At 43.3% G+C, this 19,140-nt stretch overlaps 1 protein-coding gene across 1 annotated transcript in view, besides 3 other annotated features; it reads right to left on the bottom strand.

The window, feature by feature from the left end:
- Positions 1 to 19,140, bottom strand: part of POLN (DNA polymerase nu) — a 170,204-nt gene that overhangs the window by 135,375 nt on the left and 15,689 nt on the right. Inside the window, exons 4-5 of the mRNA NM_181808.4 lie at positions 5,755 to 5,834; positions 695 to 1,195 (exon numbers count right to left, since the gene is read on the bottom strand). Of these exons, the coding sequence (NP_861524.2) occupies positions 695 to 1,195; positions 5,755 to 5,834 (581 nt within the window). The remainder of the gene's footprint in view (positions 1 to 694; positions 1,196 to 5,754; positions 5,835 to 19,140) is intronic.
- Positions 8,190 to 8,484: a silencer, noted in NCBI's record as "tiled region #8787; HepG2 Repressive non-DNase unmatched - State 24:Quies". NCBI's record gives its function as "represses a minimal TATA promoter and a strong SV40 promoter by Sharpr-MPRA in HepG2 cells {active_cell/tissue: HepG2}" and the evidence as "EXISTENCE:reporter gene assay evidence [ECO:0000049][PMID:27701403]".
- Positions 12,838 to 12,927: a silencer, noted in NCBI's record as "silent region_15157". NCBI's record gives its function as "represses an Ori minimal core promoter by ATAC-STARR-seq in GM12878 lymphoblastoid cells {active_cell/tissue: GM12878}" and the evidence as "EXISTENCE:reporter gene assay evidence [ECO:0000049][PMID:35858748]".
- Positions 13,869 to 14,793: an enhancer, noted in NCBI's record as "OCT4-NANOG-H3K27ac-H3K4me1 hESC enhancer chr4:2222888-2223812 (GRCh37/hg19 assembly coordinates)". NCBI's record gives its function as "activates a minimal SCP1, AML or CMV promoter by ChIP-STARR-seq in naive and primed H9 embryonic stem cells {active_cell/tissue: H9 hESC(naive and primed)}" and the evidence as "EXISTENCE:reporter gene assay evidence [ECO:0000049][PMID:30033119]".

A 19,140-nucleotide genomic window follows, 5' to 3' on the forward strand; every position in this document is an offset into this window, starting at 1 on the left:
TGCAGTGTATACTGCTTGAGTGATGGGTGCAGGAAAGTAGAGGAAAGGAAAGGAAAGGAAAGGAAAAGGAAAAGGAAAATGAAAAGGAAAGGTTTTTAAAAAAATCAATAGAGATCAAATTTAAAAATTTTGTGCTTCAAAAGACACCCTCAATAATTTTTTTTAAAAATATGACAGAAATTGGGAGACGTATAAATAATATATCTTATAAGAGACTTGTATCAGAATATATAAAGATCCAGAATAAAACACAAATAACCCAATTTTAAAATGGGCAAAAAATTTGAACAGACATTTCATCAAAGAAGATATATGAATGGCCAATAAGCACATGAAAAGATGCTCAATGTCACTAGATAATAGGGAAATACAATTTAAAACCACTATGAAATACCACTTCGGAATCACTGGAATGGCTAAAAAAACAGACAACAACATGTGTTGACAAGGAGGTGGAGAATTTGAAACCCTAGTACACTGCTGGTGGAAGGTAAAATGGTACACCCACTCTGGAAAACAGTTTTACAGTTTCCTAAGAAACTGATGGGAGCATACATTGTCAATCACTTACCACTGGAGGGGAAGGAAAGCCTTAAAATCTTGTTTCTAGCTCTCCTATCAAAATCTGACACTAAGAAAATGGGCTTCTTTTATGGTGTCAAGACAGCAAATAAAAACATCACTGTTTACTAACCTGGTCAGCTCCTAGCTGGGTGGAACCATCAGTATACATCACAGTTATCACCAGGGCTGCTGCCTGTTTGAGCATTTCAATCAGCTGGCTTTTTGCCCAATCATCCAAATGCCTAATATCACAAAAATGTTTTTTCAATGCTCCTGAGTTCCCAGAATTTAGGTAGCCTTCGGCGTCATCAGTATCTTCTTCCAATGCCATTTGTTTACTTGTTTTCTCTGACAAATTATTATATGTAATATGTTTTCTTTTAAGATTAATGCTTCCTTTATTTTCATTATTTATATTCTCCATTAGGAAATGCTTTCTTTTATGCCCCTTTTTCTGTAGAACTGAAGCCTCTTGATTATACTGTGGAATTAAACAACTTGAAAGAGTCAATGAGCTGATGCTCTTCTGTTTTTGGTCAGCAGACAGCTGATCTGTGAGCCTGACACTGAAGGACTGAGGAGACAGCTTGGCAGAACCTCTTGATGTCTGACTTCTTAAAGATTTAAGATCCTACAGAAAAATGGAAAATATTTCATTAGAATATGGACTCATAAGACAGATCTATAAACTAAACTAATTTCTGGTAAAAACTTGTCTAAGGTAATATGGAGACACAATCTTCATATTACCTATGATCAAACCTTCTAAGGAAACCCTATAGTGTCTTCTAGAGCAGTGATTTTTCTCAACCAAGGTAGGCATGCATATCTGGATCAAGAGCTCAAAAACCAGCCAGGCGTGGTGGCTCACGCCTGTAATCCCAGCACTTTGGGAGGCCGAGGTGGGTGGATCACTTGAGGTCAGGAATTCGAGATGAGTCTGGCCAACATGGTGAAACTTCATCTTACTAAAAATACAAAAATTAGCTGGCATGGTGGCAGGCGCTTGTAATTCCAGCTACTCGGGAGGCTGAGGCAGGAGAATCACTTGAATTCAGGAGGTGGAGGCTGAAGTGAGCTGGGATTGCACCATTGCACTCCAGCTTGGGTGACAAGAGCGAAACTCTGTCTCGAAAAAAAAGCTCAAAAGCCTCCAACTGGCCCCTGTTCTGGGAATCAGTGCATGTAATGAGACATGTCATGGATAGGATTATGTTGCATATGTGCATAAGAGAGAAGATTAATAATTTACAACTTCCAAGTAAAAGCCATTTGCAGAGAAAAATGAAATCACCAAAACTATTTAACAATATGTTAATCTATCTACTGAAAAAATGTTTTTGGGCCAGGTGCAGTGGCTCACACCTGTAATCCCAATACTTTGGGAGGCTGAGGCTGGCGGATCACAAGGTCAACAGTTCGAGACCATCCTGACCAACATGGAGAAACCTCGTCTCTACTAAGAATACAAAAATTAGTTGGGCATGGTGGAGCATGCCTGTAATCCCAGCTACTCAGGAGGCTGAGGCAGAGAATCGCTTGAACCTGGAAGGTGGAGGTTGCAGTGAGCTGAGATCATGCCATTGCACTCCAGCTTGGGCGACAGAGCAAGACTCCGTCTCAGAAAAAAAAAAAAAAAAAAAAATTAAACCCAGCTCAATAGCAGTTCTCTCATTCCATCAATGTGCAATATGCATTCATAGATCCACAAACTAATCAAGGTGGGGAAAGCAATCCTATCCATTTCATTATAGGACTTATTTACGATAACACTTTATTTTTAAGGTTTCTTTCCTTTTCCTTTTTTTTTTTTTTTTTTTTTTGAGACAGGGTCTTGTTCTGTTGCCCAGGCTGAAGTGCAGTGGCACAATCTCAGCTCACTGCAACTTCCATGTCCCCGGCTCAAGTAATCCTCCCACCTCAGCCTCCCATGTAGCTGTGACTACAGGGGTTCACCACCATATCCAGCGAATTTTTCTATTTTTAGTAGAGATGGGGTTTCACCATGTTCCCCAGGCAGGTCTCAAACTCCTGGACTCAAGCAATCTGCCCGCCTTGGCCTCCCAAAGTGCTGGGATTACAGGTGTGAGCCAACATACCCAGCCAAGGCTTATTTTCAAATTTACTTTATATATATATATAAATTTACTTTATATATATATATATATGGCTTTGAATAACTATATTAACATTACCTTTAAAATAATTTTGAAAGAAAATGTTTTAACACTTGGTCACATGTTATGAAAATTTTAAATTTATACTTGTATTTTTATTGCAGAGAAATATATGGTTTCCAAGAGTAGGCTTTCAAGCATAAAATTACATTAAAAATTCCATGGAGGAGTAAACAAGAAAAGGAATTCAAGGAGAAAAAGAAAAATATAAAATTTCAAACTGTTGAAGATCTTACTCTGTCTTTTTTAAGGGGATGATTGTGGGCTGGGCACAGTGGCTCATACCTGTAATCCTGGCACTTTGGGAGGCTGAGGCAGGAGGACTGCTTGAGCCCAGGAGTTCAAGACCAGCCTGGGCAAAATAGCAAAACCCTGTCCTTTTACAAAGAATACAAAAATTAGCTGGGCATGGTGTCATGTGCCTACGGTCCCAGCTACTCAGGAGGCTGAGGTGGGAGGATCACCTGAGCCCAGGAGGTCAAGGCTACAGTGAGCCGTGGTCACACCACACTGCACTTCAGCCTGTGCGACAGAGTGAGAAAGTCTCAAAATAATAATAATAATAATAATAATAATAATAATAATAATAATAATAATAAAAAAAAGAGGCCGGGCATGGTGGCTCACGCCTGTAATCCCACTATTTTGGGAGGCCCGGGCAGATGGATCACGAGGTCAGGAGTTCAAGACCAGCCTGGCCAATATGGTGAAAACCTGTCTGTACTAAAAATAAAAAAATTAGCCGGGCATGATGGCATGCACCTGTAACCCCAGCTGCTTGGGAGGCTGAGGCAGGAGAATCGCTTAAACCCAGGAGACGGAGGTTGCAGTGAGCCGAGATCGCGCCACTGCACTCCTGCCTTGGTGACAGAGACTCCATCTCAAAACATAATAAATAAATAAATAAATAAATAAATAAATAAATAAATAAAATAGTCCAGGCACGGTGGCTCATGCCTTTAATCCCAACATTTTGGGGGGCTGAGGCAGGCAGATCACCAGAGGTCAGGAGTTCGAGACTAGCCTGGCCAACATGGTGAAACCCCATCTCTATTAAAAACACAAAAATTAGCTGGGTGTGGTGGTGGGCACCTGTAATCCCAGCTACTCAGAGGCTGAGGCAGGAGAATCGCTTAACCCAGGAGGCGGAGGTTGCAGTGAGCCGAGATCACACCACTGCACTCCAGTGCAGGTGACAGAGCGAGACTCCGTCTCCAAATAATAATAATAATAATAATAATAATAATAATAATAATAATAATAATAAGAGGATTGTGGATATCAAGTTGTCAAAGTGCATATTTAATTTTCGTGAATATATTTTAAATGGTAATGTAACAGTAAAAATGTCAATATTAACAATAGAGCAGAAATCATGTACTTTGCAATTTTTTAAACTTGTGATAAGGATTTTAAATTTCAACTTTAAAATATGTCAGGCAGTACAGATAGTTTGAGAAGTCCAGGTATGGGGGCTCATATCTGTAATCCCAGCACTTTGGGAGGCCGAGGTGGGAGGATCGCTTGAGCCCAGGAGTTTGAGACCAGCCCGGGCAACATGGTGAAACCCTGTCTCCACCAAAAATACAAAAATTAGCTGGGCAATGATGGTGTGTGCCTGTAGTCTCAGCTACTTGGGAGGCTGAGTTGGGAGGATCACTTGAGTCCAGGACTCAATTAATTAGCTGGGCATGGTTGCAGAGGTGGAGGTAGAGATTGCAGTGAGCTGTGATCACACCACTGCACTCCACCCTGGGTGACAGAGTGAAGGCCTGTCTCAAACAAACAAACAAACAAAAACAACAAAATTCTTTTGAGAGAAAGGGAGCAAAAAGTTTGCAGACCCCTGCCTTCGGGATCCAAGGAGCACAGTCTGTTCACCACTGAGAGATACAATTTCCATTCATTTACAGAGGGAAGAAGAGAAGAGTCCCTTCTCTGTGGAAGATGCCTCTTCCCTCCACTCCAAGGGCAGATAATCATCCTATGAACCCAGGGGCAAATAATCATCCCATCAACCCAAGAGACAGGTCCTATTATCTCACTTTACTATAGGGCATTTAGGTTTAAATTTAATTAGGTTGGGAGTTGAACACAGGTAGTTTACTCCAAAGTCCATTCTCTTAACCACTATGTTGCCTGCACCACTTTCATACACAAGGTCTTTGGTGATACGACCTCTCTGGCCCACACCACATAACTCACCCATTGTGAATGTTATAGCCCTGCCTTTCTGAAATTCTATTATTTCCACTACCCAAAGTTCCAAGCTTTCTTCCCTTATCTGAAAAATTTCTCAATGTTTTGCCTCTACTCCCTTAAAGGTGGGGATCTTTTTATTTTTTATTTCTATTTTTTAGACACTGAGTCTTGCTCTGTTGCCCAGGCTGGAGTGTTGTGGTGCAATCACAGCTCACTGCAGCCTCAAAATCCTTGGCTCAAGTGATCCTCCAGCCTCAGCCTCCTGAGTAGCTGGGACTACAGGAGCATGCCACCATGCCCAGTTAATTTTTTTTTTTTTGTATTATTTTTTGTAGAGACAGGGTCTCCTTATGTTGCCCAAGCTGGTCTCAAATTCCTGGCCTCAAGTGGTCCACCCTGCTCAGCTTCCCAACGTGCTGGGATTACCTGTGTGAGCCACTGCATCCAGCCTAGGTCGATCACCTCCTAATTATCCAATAGATCTCAACTCAGATATAATTTTCATACTTCAGAAAGACATCCCTGACTCTTCTCCTCAACACCCAGGAGGGCAAAATGAAATAGCACAAAAACTGAGTTAGATGTTCCTCCTATTGTCCCCAGAGCACTCTGAACTAACTTCTCTCATGGCACCTACTTGCCCCTCCCTGCATCCAAATTAAACTATAAGTTCTTGGAGAGCAAGAACGCCTCTTTTTTTTTTTTTAAGGTGTGGTATCTACAGTGCCTAGCACACAGTAGAACACTTAATAAGCATCTATTGAACAAATAAGTTATCTATTTAAAATTACTCATATGTGCAATGATTTACCTTTTTTTCTGGTGATTGAGTCTTCCTGTCTTCAAGTTGTACTGAATACTTAACACTGGACTTGTTTATCACTTCCATAGCTTTTAAAAACAACAAAAAAGAAACATGGGGCATTAAAGAAACATTGATATCTAAGTCACACAGTTAACTAAACACTGAAATAACCTCTATAATCATGCTTATTTATTCATTATTAACTTACTTAAAACAATGTAATAAAATTCACAAGTAAAATGCTTAGTACCATTGCAATAAATATTTATGTAAAGTACCTTCAAGTTAACTGAAGATAACTCTATATAATCATAAAACATTTATTAAAAATCATTATTTGACATTTGCATTTGAATACATGACTCTAAAAACCCAAGGTCAACTTTTATAGAAACCTTAAAAGGATTAAAGGTTTGGGGAAATTCTTAGACTGAATACTGCAGTGGAACAATTGAAGGTTCAGTAAAACATCATTAAAACAAACTTCTAATTTAGATTTTGATTTAATTTCAATAAGCCTGGGCTGAACAGTAAGTGACAGAACCAGGATCCAATCCCAGGCAATAGGATTTGGGAGTCTGTGCTCTTAACCACTGTGACATACATTTCCTCTGCAGGAACAATAACAACCTGAAATGCAAATAGGGGAAAATATTTCACTTACAATATAAAAACATTATACTTAGGATAAATATAACAAAAAAGATACAAGGCCCTCAATGATGAAAATGTAAAATCTTATTAAATGGCATAAAAAAAGATCTGTACAAATGAAAAGACACAGCATTAGGATATAGATCACAAAATGTTTAATTCTTCTAAATTTAAGGCAATTCCAATTGGAGACCCTACAGGGATATTTTAATTTAATAAAATAATTTCAAAGTACGAAAAGACAAGAAATGTAAGCTTAGGCCGGGCGTGGTGACTCACGCCTGTGATCCCAGCACTTTGGGAGGCTGAGGTGGGTGGATCACCTCAGGTCAGGAGCTCGAGACCAGCTTGGCCAAAATGGTGAAACCCCACCTCTACTAAAAATACAAAAATTAGCCAGGTGTGGTGGCAAGCACCTGCAATCCCATCTACTTGGGAGGCTGAGGCAGGAGAATTGCTTGAACCCGGGAGGTGGAGGTTGCAGTGAGCCGAGATTGCGCCACTGCACTCCAGCCTGGGTTACAGGGCAAGACTCTGTCCTGGGAAAAAAAAAAGTAAGCTTAAAAAAGAGAGAGAGAAAAGACCTCTAGAAGAGAACAGACAACCCAGAGACTGATCCCAAGACTTTATATACAACAAAGATAGTATTTCAATTCAATAGAAAAGGATAGATTAATTAATAGGGCTGGTATAACTAGCACCACATCAAAAAGAAAATAAATGCATTGGGAAAACTATTTGGAACAAAAATGACAAAGGGTTAACTGCTATATTATACAACAAGTTCTCATACATTTACAAGATAAGACAAACAATTCAACAGAAAAATGAGCAAAGAATAGGAAGAGGCAATACACAAAACAGAAAACCCAAAGAGGAAACAAATACAATACTCAGGGAAACGCAAATTAACTATAACTGGAAACACAGGGGAAGAGGTAGTCTCATGTATTGCTGGTAAAAATGTAAATAGACTCTTTCTAGAAGGCAAACTGTCAAGACTTATTAAAATTAATAATGCATACATCACTTTGGGAGTTGGGTGGAGAAAGTGACCCACAGGGAGCTCAAGATGGGCCTCTGGGAATGCTAGTTATGTTTCCTGAACTGGGTTTGGGTTTGTGAAATTTTGACCTAAACTAAACTTAGGATATGTGTGCTGTTTTATATATATACACACACACATATACACATACATATACATATATATGTATATACATATACATATATATGTATATACCTCAGCCATATATATATGAGAGACAGAGTGCTCTTGCCTTAACAAAAACAGATAGGAAATAATATCCATCATCTAACCAAATAATCTCTAACCAAATAATCTCACTCTTGGCTGTTTCACAGAAATATATGCAACAGTAAACAGGTTTAAACCAAAATGTTTATAGCAGTATTGCTCATTATGGCAAAGGACTGAAAATAAAGTAGATACCAATCAGAAGAAAACTGAGGAATAAATTACATAATATCCACATCATGAAATACATAGCCACTAAAAAGAATGACCTTGTTAAAACATAGATTGCAGGGGGGAAAATGACTCCAGCTATAGTGGTTGACTGAAGATGATGACCTCATTTTTAAAAATAATGACCAAATCTCCCCGCTTATGCACACGAAGATGTTACGCACATAACACTCGGGTACCCTGGGAGACCACCTCTGTGATGAAGGTTTGCATTTGAAAAGGTGATTGGAGAGTGAAGGAAGCAGAATCCAACCAAGGAAGACAATGGCTAAGATGCAGTCACTCAAAGGCCTGCCCTGAGCTGAGCATGGTCCTACAGATGTGTCTCCCAATGGGTCAAGACAGCTGGGCTTTTATACCCCTGCACAAACTAGTCACTGGACCAGTCACTCCTGGGGAAGGGGTGGGCCCTTGGGCAAAGAAGTTCTTTGCAGCCAGGCAATCAGGGAGGGGCTGTCCCAGGAGCAGGGACAGTGCTTCAGTACTAAAGGGGCATATGGGAACCACAGTGCTTGCTACACTCCACACTGCACTGCTCATAGCCACTTGCTTCAGGGACGTTCTGGGAGCAGCTCCTGTAGGATTCTGGCGGGCCTTTTCCTTGGGAAATTTATAAAAGGAAGGCACTGGGATGAACTACATCTTGCTGCAGCTGGCCTCAAGGTTGCAAATTACATTCATCTCCCTCCTCTACTGCCCATGCTAACTCCTCACCCTTGCCTATCTCCTCTGCTGCTCTAGGTGGCTTAGCTTACCTGATCAGGTAACCCAAACCCTCATCCCTGAGAGGTAAGCCCCTGGCCACCATGCCCTTCTCTGGCCATAGCCCCAGCATTTGCCATCAAATTTGGGCAGGGGACCATGAGGTGGCCAATCACATCACCTGGGTGCTTCCCTGCCCCCAGTTATGTAGTAACAGCTCTACCTCCACCTGACGCCCACGGTCAGCCACCCCAGAAGATGGAAATTACATTCCTTGCCAGCCAGTCTCTTGGCACAAGGAGCTCAAAATGACCAGACAGCAGCCACAGCTGGAAATTAAATGGCGTTCTTCCTGTGCCCCTGCTGGAAAGGTTTTCCCTTTGAGAGTCAAGACCTTTAAACCTTAAGAACCCAGAGGAGTGTGAGGGAGAAATACAGATTTCTAAGTGGGTCACTGGGAGTGATGACTTTCACCTTTTGGTTCCCAGACCCATTTATTACACAAACCAAGGACACTGCACCACGTACTGGTTAGTGATTTGCAGTGCAGACTGCACCCTGGAGGTGACTGCTTCATCACAGGTGTCACCTCCAGGCTGCACACGAGGTGAGCTGTGCCTTCCACAGACCATCCTGCTGCTCCATCAGGCTGGCAGCTTCTTGGTGTGTGGCTGTGAGGGAGACAGTGAGTCCTACTCTCATGTGCCCACTGCTGCAGTTCCTTGGCTGAGCGCAGGATCCTGTGGATCAAACACTCTGTGAAACTTGGGTGATGGAGCTGACTGAATCCATGAGAATGGGAAAGGCAAACCCATGCCTGTAACGTGTGTTGGTTCTGGCCAAGATGAATCACTGTACCTTCTAGGGCACAAGGGGTTCAGTGTTGTCAAATGACTGTTTCCCTCCAAGGAAGGTACAACTGGGGACTCAGTGTTTGGTCTCTGTTGCTGGAAGATTGGATGTTCTGCAGAGAAATAGCTAGGTCAGCTCTGGTGAGGGGGAGCCCCATGCTATGGGCCATGCACAGCATCTACCCACCCCATGATTACTCCATGAGAGAGCCCAGTGTGCCAGCATGGGCGCAGCAGATGGCAGAGGCTAGATGTCAACTGGCCAAGTCATCCTATTAATGTGGTGGTTTGGTGTGTCCCCATGGTGAATGTTCTTGGGTGGGAAGTACTTCGTGACTGTTCCCACAGATCCCTCCACATGCCTTACTCCAGGAACTCCCTGATCTTCCAATCTTTCTCATTCCAGGTACCTGAGCAACCTGTCAAGCCACTAACCGCTGCCCAAGAGTTCCAAATGTGTTAACACTGGGGCCACTTCTCCTTCCACACAAAGTAGATAGTCAAGGGGCACCACCCAACGTTCTACCCATTGGGTTTCCCTTGAGCACTGTCTTCCAGGGCTGCCTAAATCAGGCTGTTCAGAGCCCACCCACCATGAACCAAGCTCTAACTTTTCCTGCCTCCATCAGCTGGTCTTAAGGCTGCCCCCGTCAGAAGTACCAGTGCCAGCACCAATGATGTCATGGGTTCTGGGCCACATGAAAAGCTTGGTTGTGCCTGCTTGTACCTAGTACTAAATGAGCCACTTCCAACTTGCAATGGACAGCTGCATGCCCACCTCTCAGTGGGTCTGACAGAACCAGCTCATGCTGGCAGTTCTGGCTCATGGTCACTTGATGTCACCATGGCCTCACGCTCCATCTCTACCAGGGCCCAGTAGCATGACAGTTTTGTTTTTGAAAAATTTATAATTTGTTTCTGCAGATAGCATTGCCTTGCTCCAGAGTTCTAGGAGTCTGCATTGAGATTCTTCTGTTGGGGCTTTGCCTTAAGCTTCACATGGCATCTTTCCCCACTACAGATACCTCTAACATCACAAGGTCTGTTGGGTTGGAAGTCCAAGTAGCTGAGCCACTTGCTTCACAGCCTAGGCCTCTTACAGGATGCTTTCCTATGCAGTATTCCCAATGTGGAATATGCTGCCTCCACTCCCTAAACCCAGAGATGCCTATCAGGTGTTATGGTTCACTCTTAATGGTTATGTGGTTAACCACGTTGCAGGATGACTCGACCAGTTAACATCTTCATTCTTAATGCTTCATTCTTAAAAATGCAGTAATTTAGCCAGGTGTGCACTTGTAGTCCCAGCTACTCGGGAGACTGAAGCAGATCACTTTGACCCCAAGAGTTTGAGGCCAGCCTGAGCAACACAGTAAGACCCAGTCTCTTGGGGAAAAATAAAAAATAAAAAAAGGTGGCCAGGCGTGGTGGCTCATGCCTGTAATCCCAGCACTTTGGGAGGCCAAGGCAGGCGGATCATCTAAGGTCGGGAGTTCGAGACCACCCTGACCAACATGGAGAAAGCCCGTCTCTACTAAAAATACAAAAAAAAAAAAAAAAAATTAGCCAGGCATGGTGGCGCATCCCTGTGATCCCAGCTACTTGGGAGGCTGAGGCAGGAGAATCGCTTGAACCTGGAAGGCGGAGGTTGTGGTGAGCTGAGATTGTGCCATTGCACTCCAGCCTGGGCAACAAGGGTGAAACTGCCTTAAAAAAAAAAAGGCACTAATTTGTCCTTTACTTGCAAGGGGATATCCTACCTATCCTCAGACCACTGAACTTCCAAAAACTTCATGGTTGTGGTGGGCCCCAGAATATCTGTGTGCTTATCTCCCATGTTTTGGACAGCAAGACAGCTAACAAACTTGCCATTTCTTGCTTATGCTGATTGGCATGATGTCATCAAAACAGTGGGTGGCGGGATAACATAGCACTGGGGCAAGGTGCAAATTTATATTGTCCATTCAGAGTGAATATTTCTGCAGGGATGGAAAAGAATGTGTTCACCAAATCAATAATTGCATTTCATATACCTGAGGCCTTGTTAATTGCATATGCCACATCCAGCCCACCAGCTGTCATTAGGGCTATAACTTGGTCACAACTATTTGTGGTGTCAATTGTTATTCTCCAGGATCTGACTTCTGTGAGCACCTACCTGGTGAATTAAATGAACATATGACAGGGACCACCCTGTGCCCTGAATCCTGTAGGGGTTTAAGGATGGCACTAACTTCTGCCATTTCTCCTAGGTTGCCATATTGCTATACTAATTCACTATCTTTGCTGGGAAGGCAGTTTCAGCGTCATCCACTTGAGCTTACTCACTAGGAGAGCTCTCATCCTCAGGCCAAGGAGCCAGTACCTGAGGGTTCTTCCAACAGTCTGTTCATTCCAAATAACATGTGGGGACTTGGAAAATGGCTTCGGAGTGAGCCCTCCCATTATAGTGTAATCTGGGCCAAGGTTCCATTTATTGCTTGAGTCCTTGCGCCTCTGACGGAGAAACCATGATGATACTTTAGGTCTCCAGGTATCAATATCATATGAATGTTTCAGTATCCCTTTCCCCCTTGTATAAGTTCCCAGAGTAAATGGCCACAGGTTTCCCTGGCGGAAAGACAGGAAAAATAACTGCCATATACACTCACTATGGTGTTGCATAATCCTTCCTCCTGGGGACCTGGCCTCTCCTTCAGTCAGTTGGTTCCAGGTCTGAAGTCACTTTACGAGAACTGTATCTACCCTGCTTCTGACAGGCAGCACCACCTGGCCTCTATGTCAGGATCCTATCTCCCTGACTGTTATCAGGAGGCATCTCCTATTATCAGCCCTGGTCTATAGCAGACACCACTGAGATTCTCAGTGAAGCCGATGCTCCCCACTCCCTCATCAGCTTTCATTATTGCTTCGGTAAATAGAGCATCCAGAGCGCCCTTCTGCAGAACAATGTTACCTGCTGAGTTTCCCAGCCCTCCACAATATGGCCATTCTAGCATGTCCACCTCTCCTGGCTTTTCATGCCTTCTTTTACCATCTGCCCTGGCAGTTCTAATCTTTCTCCTTCACTTAGTATGAACCCTCTCCTACAAGGAACTAAAAGCCATCCTAGCAGTATGTTGGCACCACCTCTTGGAATCTTCATCGGGTTGTCAAATCCAGTGTCTCTGAAGTGATCCCGCATAAATAAACTCTCCCTTATCCAACCTTAGTTCCACCTGCCTTGATCCAGCACCCTCAGACCCAGCCCACCATAGGTACTCTCCCAGGCCTGCTTGTATATGGCCAGTTAGGTCCTGCAGTTCCTTTGGAGTAGAATCTCTTTCGTCCCTGTGCCAGTTATCAACATACTGTCTCCCAGCTACAAATTCGCCTCTCAGCTACAAATTCACCCCTCGTTGCACCCCACGCCCTACAGAAAATACACCTCCTTTGCCACCTGGCACGATGTTAAGCTCCGTCAGCAGAGGGTGCTAGAGGGACGCTGTCAGAGATGAGGCCTCTGCTGTGCTTTGCTTTGCTTTCCTTTCTTCTTGCTCCTGCAGCTCTTAACCAGTGTACTAGACACCCATGAGCAGCCCCACTGGCCACTTCCCAGCTACTTCTGCAGACATTCTAGCCAGCCCTCCAGCAAGTTTCAGTCAATCCCCGTGGGCAGCTTCCTACTGAGTTTCACAAGCACCCCTACCAACTTCTCAGTGAGTTTAGTGATACCCCATAGGTGGGTTCCCACTTGCCAGACTGACTGGCACTTCAGCCAACTTCTTGGCCACCCAGTGGGCTACATCCACAACCTCTGACAGTCTGAATCTCGGCCTTGAGGGGAGAGACCCTGCTAAATTTGTCCCTTCCTTCGGCACCCCACTTCAGCCCTAGCAGGGGAGGCTGCTCCCTGTCTGCTCTTGCTGGATTCTTTAGAGTTTTCTCTAAAGCTATTCCTGGTAGCTACTCCTGCTAGTTAGTAATGCCTTAAACATTCCCTGTTCAAATTACTCTACGGTTTCTGTCCCTTGACTGGACTGTAACAGGCCCAGTACTTTTCGACAGGGTTATTTTGTGACTTAATGACCAGGAGAGGAGGAGGGGGCCGCAAAAAAGAAAAAGCCTGAACAAAACATTTATGAATCTTTTCACAATTTCTTATGAAATGACATACGTATGCATGTGTATAACTATACAAAAAGATCTGGGGAATTATGAACTTTGTTTGTTTTTTCTGTTTCTCCCTCCCCATCCCAAAAACTTCTCCTGAAGTATTATTACATAATGACGGAGCATGTCTTATTTTTCAAGACAGAAGCTCTCCATTGTTCTCCAGCAAAGGTGGGGGGAAGCGCTCAGGGTGGGGCCATTTCTGCAGGTCTCAGAGGTATCTGATACTCAAGATTTATTTTTTAAATAAAATTTATTATTATTATTTTTGAAACAGGGTCTCACTCTGTTACCCAGGCTGGAGTGCAGTGGCACAATCTCAGCTCCCTGCAACCTCCACCTCCCAAGCTCAAGCAACAGTCCCCCTTCCTCAGCCATCCAAATAGCTGGGATTCCGTGCCATCATGCCCCACTAATTTTTTGCAGAGATAACTGTGAAAGGAAAATAAAATCTTGGGAATCCCAAGTCACTAAGCTAAAGGGAAAAGTCAAGGTGGGAACTGCTTAGGGCAAACCTGCCTCCCATTCTATTCAAAGTCAAATTCTATGCCTCTGAGGTTCACCTGAGACAAATGGGGATCTGATTGCTTCCCCTCCCCACTGTTTATGTAAAAATACAGATTCACTAAATTGTGTATTCAGTGGAAGGCTGATCAAGGACTCAAAAGAATGCAACCTTTTGTCTCTTACCTACTTTTTGTTTGTTTTTGAAACAGAGTCTCATCCTATCCTTCAGGCTGGAGTGCAGTGGTGTGATCTTGGCTCACTGCAACCTCCACTTCCTGGTTCAAGGGATTCTCCTGCCTCATCCTCCCGAGCAGCTGGGATTACAGGCACCTGCCACCATGCTCGGCTAATATTCGATTTTTAGTAGAGACAGGGTTCCACCACGTTGGCCAGTCTGGTCTTGAACTCCTGACCTCAAGGGATCCACCCGCCTCAGCCTCCCAAAATACTGGGATTACAGGGGTGAGCTATCGCACCTGGCCCCTCTTATCTAATTCTAACCTGGAAGCCCCCTCTTCGAGTTGTCCCGCCTTACCAGACCGAACCAATTACATCTTACACATATTGAGGTTTCATGTCTTCCTAAAATGTTTAAAAGCAAACTACCCCCAGCCACCTTGGGCACGTCTCAGGACTTCCTAAGGCTGTGTCATAGGCATGTCCTTAACCTAGGCAAAATAAACTTTCTAAATTGAGACCTGCCTGTTATTTTGCATTCACATGGGTTTCGCCATGTTGCCCAAACTGGTCCGATACTCAAGATTTTTTTTTTCTTGGCTCCCTGTGGTATTTCAATCAAGATTTAAATATACCAATCCAAAGGTTCCCATCCTGTATCTCAGGGTCTGGTCCCTCTTTCCTCAGATCAAGACCTTAATCTTGGCCAGGTGGAGGTGGCTCATGCCTGTAATCCCAGCACTTTGGTAGGCTCAAGATGCCCAGGAATTCGAGACCAGACTGGGCAGCATGGTGAAACCCCATGTGTACTTAAAAAACAAACAAACAAAAAAAAAACTAGCCGGGCATGCACACCTGTAGTCTCAGCTACTCAGAAGAATCACCTGAGGTCCGGAGGCGGAGGTTAAAGTGAGCCTGATCAGACCTCCAGCCTAGGTATCACCAAAAAACAAAAAACAAAACAAAACAAAAACCCCTAGCACACCACCAGGGCTGAAAATTCAAGTTTCTCTGGAGCAATCAGGACTAAGTCTTGGGTCTACGGCTACAGGCTGTCACTTTATAGGCTGCCCAGGAAGCCCTCTGGCTTTCACGTTTAGCCTTTAATTGCTTATCACCCACGGCCTTTTTTTTTTTTTTTTTATTTTTCCACAGGATCTATTATTCCCAGCCACAGCCATCCAATTCCATTGTCTTCAACTGCCTTGTACTTCTCAGATGTGCAGTATTGTCCCAGCTGGTGCAGCTGCTCCCACTAGTAAGCCAGACAAACCCACCTTGAGCCAAAATTTTAACTCCACTGCTACCATCTGTATTGCACCCACAACTTGTGATGAGGTCATCAGTGCCAGCTTACCTGCGGGAGACCAAACTCCAAAATCACATGTCTACTTTCTCAGACCACTCCTGCCACCAACTGTAGCAGATCAGGTTCCCTGAGACTGAGATTTGTCAGCAGAAAGTTTACTGGGGAGTGGCCTTGGAGATCAGAAGAATGGAGCCTGGGGAAGCTGAAATGTGATACATTGCAAGAAATGCCTCAGCCAATGCCACCTGACGAGGGGGGTTGGGTTGGCACAGATATATACAAGCCATAATTACAGTCATGCAGGGATATGTTCTGAGAAATGCATCATTAGGTGATTTCATTGTTATGAAAACATCATAGATCAAGGGTCCCCAACCCCTGAAGTGAGGACCAGTACCTGTCTGTAGTCTGCTAGGAACAAGGCCACACAGCAGGAGGAGAGCAGCAGGTGAGTGAGCATTCCCACCTGAGTTCCGCCTCCTGTCAGATAGGCAGCAGCATTAGATTCTCATAGGAGCAAGAACTGTACTGTGAACTGCACATGCAAGGGATAATAGGTTGCGAGCTCCTTATGAGAATCTACCGCCTGACGATCTTAGGTGGAACAGTTTCATCCCAAAAGCATCCACCCGACCCCCATCCCGTGGAAAAATTGTCTTCCATGAAACCAGTCCCTGGCGCCAAAAGGTTGGGGACTGCTGTCATATAGTGAACTTACACAAACCTAGATGGCATAGCTTACTACACTCCTAAGCTGTATGATCTAGCCTGTAGCTCAAACCTGTACAGCATGTACTAGGCTACAAAGCTGTACAGCATGTTACTGCACTGAATACTGTAGGCAACTGTAACACAACAGTAAGTATTTGTGTATCTAAACATAGGTAAAAATACAGTATAAAAGATTAAAAAATGGTACTTATATAGGGCACTTACCATAAATGGAGCTTGCAGGACTTGGCATTTGCTCTGGGTGAATCAGTGAGTGGGGAGTAAGTGTGAAACCTTAGTGCATTACTGTACACTGATGTAGACTTCACAAACACTATACACTTAGGACACACTAAATTTATTTTTAAAAATTTTCTTTCTTCAATAATAAATTAACCTCAATGTACTTTAACGTTTTTTACTTTATACACTTTTAAATTTTTTAAACTTTTGAACTCTTTTATAACATTTACCTTAAGACAAAAACACATTGTACAGCTGAACAAAAATATTTTTTCTTCATATCTTGATTCCATAACCTTTTCTCTATTAAGATATTTAACTTTTTAAAAAATGTTCTTAACTTTCTTAAAACTAAGACACACACACACATTAGCCTAGGCCTACACAGGGTAAAGAGCATTAGTATCACTGTCTTCTACTTCTGTATCTTGTCCCCCTGGAAGGTCTTCAGAGGCACTAATACATATGGAGCTGTCACTTCCTATGATAAGAGTACCTTCTTCTGGATACCTCCTGAAGGACCTGCCTGGAGCTGTTTTACAATTAGCTTTTTTTTCATAAGAAGGAGTATACCCTAAAATAATGATAAAAAGTATATATAGTATCGTAAATATATAAACCAGTAACACAGTCATTTGTTTTCAAGTACTCTGTACTACATATAATTGTATATACAATTATACGTAGTATAGTACAGTGTAGTAGGCTATGCCATCTAGGTTTGTGTAAGTTGACTGTATGACATAGCTATATACTATATACAGAGTGCTATACTTTTATACACCTGGTAGTGCAGTAGGTTTGTTTACGCCAGCATCACAACAAAAACATAATGCAGCTGGGTGCGGTGGCTCATGCCTGTAATCTCAGCACTTTGGGAGGCCGAGGTGGGAGGATCACCTGAGGTCAGGAGTTCAAGATCAGCCTGGCCAACATGGTGAAACCCTGCCTCCACTAAAAATACAAAAATTAGCCAGGCGTGGTGGCAGGCACCTGTAATGCCAGCTACTCAGGAGGCTGAGACAGGAAAATCACTTGAACTGGGAGGTGGAGGTTGCAGTGAGCCGAGATTGCACCACTGCACTCCAGCCTGGGTGACAAGAGTGAAACTCTGTCTTGGGAAAAAAAAAAATGTAATGCATTGTGCTATGATAACAGTACAGCTATGATGTCACTAGGAGACAGGAATTTTTCAGCTCCATTATAATCTTATGGGACCACCAACATATATACGGTCTGTCGTTGACCAAAACATCATTCATTATGCAACACATGACTCTCCAACCATATAAATTATAATCATAGAAAAAAATTAACAAAAATATAAAAGGCACATACTAAGTTGTTAACATGGGTTAACAATAAGGGAGAGGGTTCGACAAGCAAAAAAAACCTTGAACCTTCTCACAATTTTATATTAAAACTATGTATGTATGCATGTATATAAATATGTAAAAAAAAATTTAAGAAAAATGTCTTTGGGAAGCCGAGGTGGGTGGATCACTTGAGGTCAGGAGTTTAAGACCAACCTAACCAACATGGCGAAACCCCGTCTCTACTAAAAATACAAAAATTAGCCAGGCATGGTGGTGGGCGCCTGTAATACTGGCTACTCAGGAGGCTGTGGCAGGAGAATCCCTTGAACCCAGGAGGGGGGGTTGCAGTGAGCCGAGATCGCACCACTGTACTCCAGCTTGGGTGACAGAGCAAGACTCCAACTCAAAAAAAAGAAAGAAAAGAAAAGAAAATTGTGTGGAATTACAGATTTTAGTTTTTTGTTTGTTTTTTCTAAAAAAAAAAACAAACACTTTTCCTAATGTATTACAAAAAGACGCCCCAAAAATGTTGTGGAAAAAATTTATAATACTAAAAAAAAATAGTAGGCCAGGCAGGCACAGTAGCTCATGTCTGTAATCCCAGCACTTTCAGAGGCTGAGGCAGGAGAATCGTGTGAGCCCAGGAGTTTGAGACCAGCCTGGGCAACATAGCAAGACCTCGTCTCCACACAAAAATAAAAAATTAGCCAGACACAGTAGCAAGTGCCTGTAGTCCCAGCTACTCAGGAGGCTGAGGTGGGAAGATTGCTTGAACCTGGGAGGTTCAGGCTGCAATGACCTGTGAACTCCAGCCTGGGCGACAGAGCAAGACCCTGTCTCGAAAAAAAAAAAAGTAAGTTTATCTCTCTCCCATGTTCTGAGGTGAATGGTCTCAGTAGGTGGTATAGCTGTTTTTTAAAGTCACTCAGGGGCCCAGGATCCTTCTAGCATGTTGTTCCACAATCCTCTAGGACACTGTTATCATTTGCAGGGTTGGAGAAGAATCATTTCAGCTCCAACCGATGGGAAGCAAAGAGGCCAGAGAAGCAGGCAGGCTGTCTTGGAGCCTCCCTTGGAAATGGCACCCGCTGAGCTCACAACTCACTGACAGGCACCTGGCCACTTGGTCAAACCTGACTGCAACAAGACTGAGCCATGTAGTGTAATTGTGTGCCTCAGAAAACAAGGATGGATTCAACGTGGTAAGAAATGAGTAATCGCTGCCAAAAAGTTATCTGGAATAATTTAAAATGCCCATGATTATGAAGTGGTTGCCATAAAAGG

This window comes from Homo sapiens, chromosome 4 (genome assembly GCF_000001405.40).
Source record: "Homo sapiens chromosome 4, GRCh38.p14 Primary Assembly".
Taxonomy (NCBI): domain Eukaryota; kingdom Metazoa; phylum Chordata; class Mammalia; order Primates; family Hominidae; genus Homo; species Homo sapiens.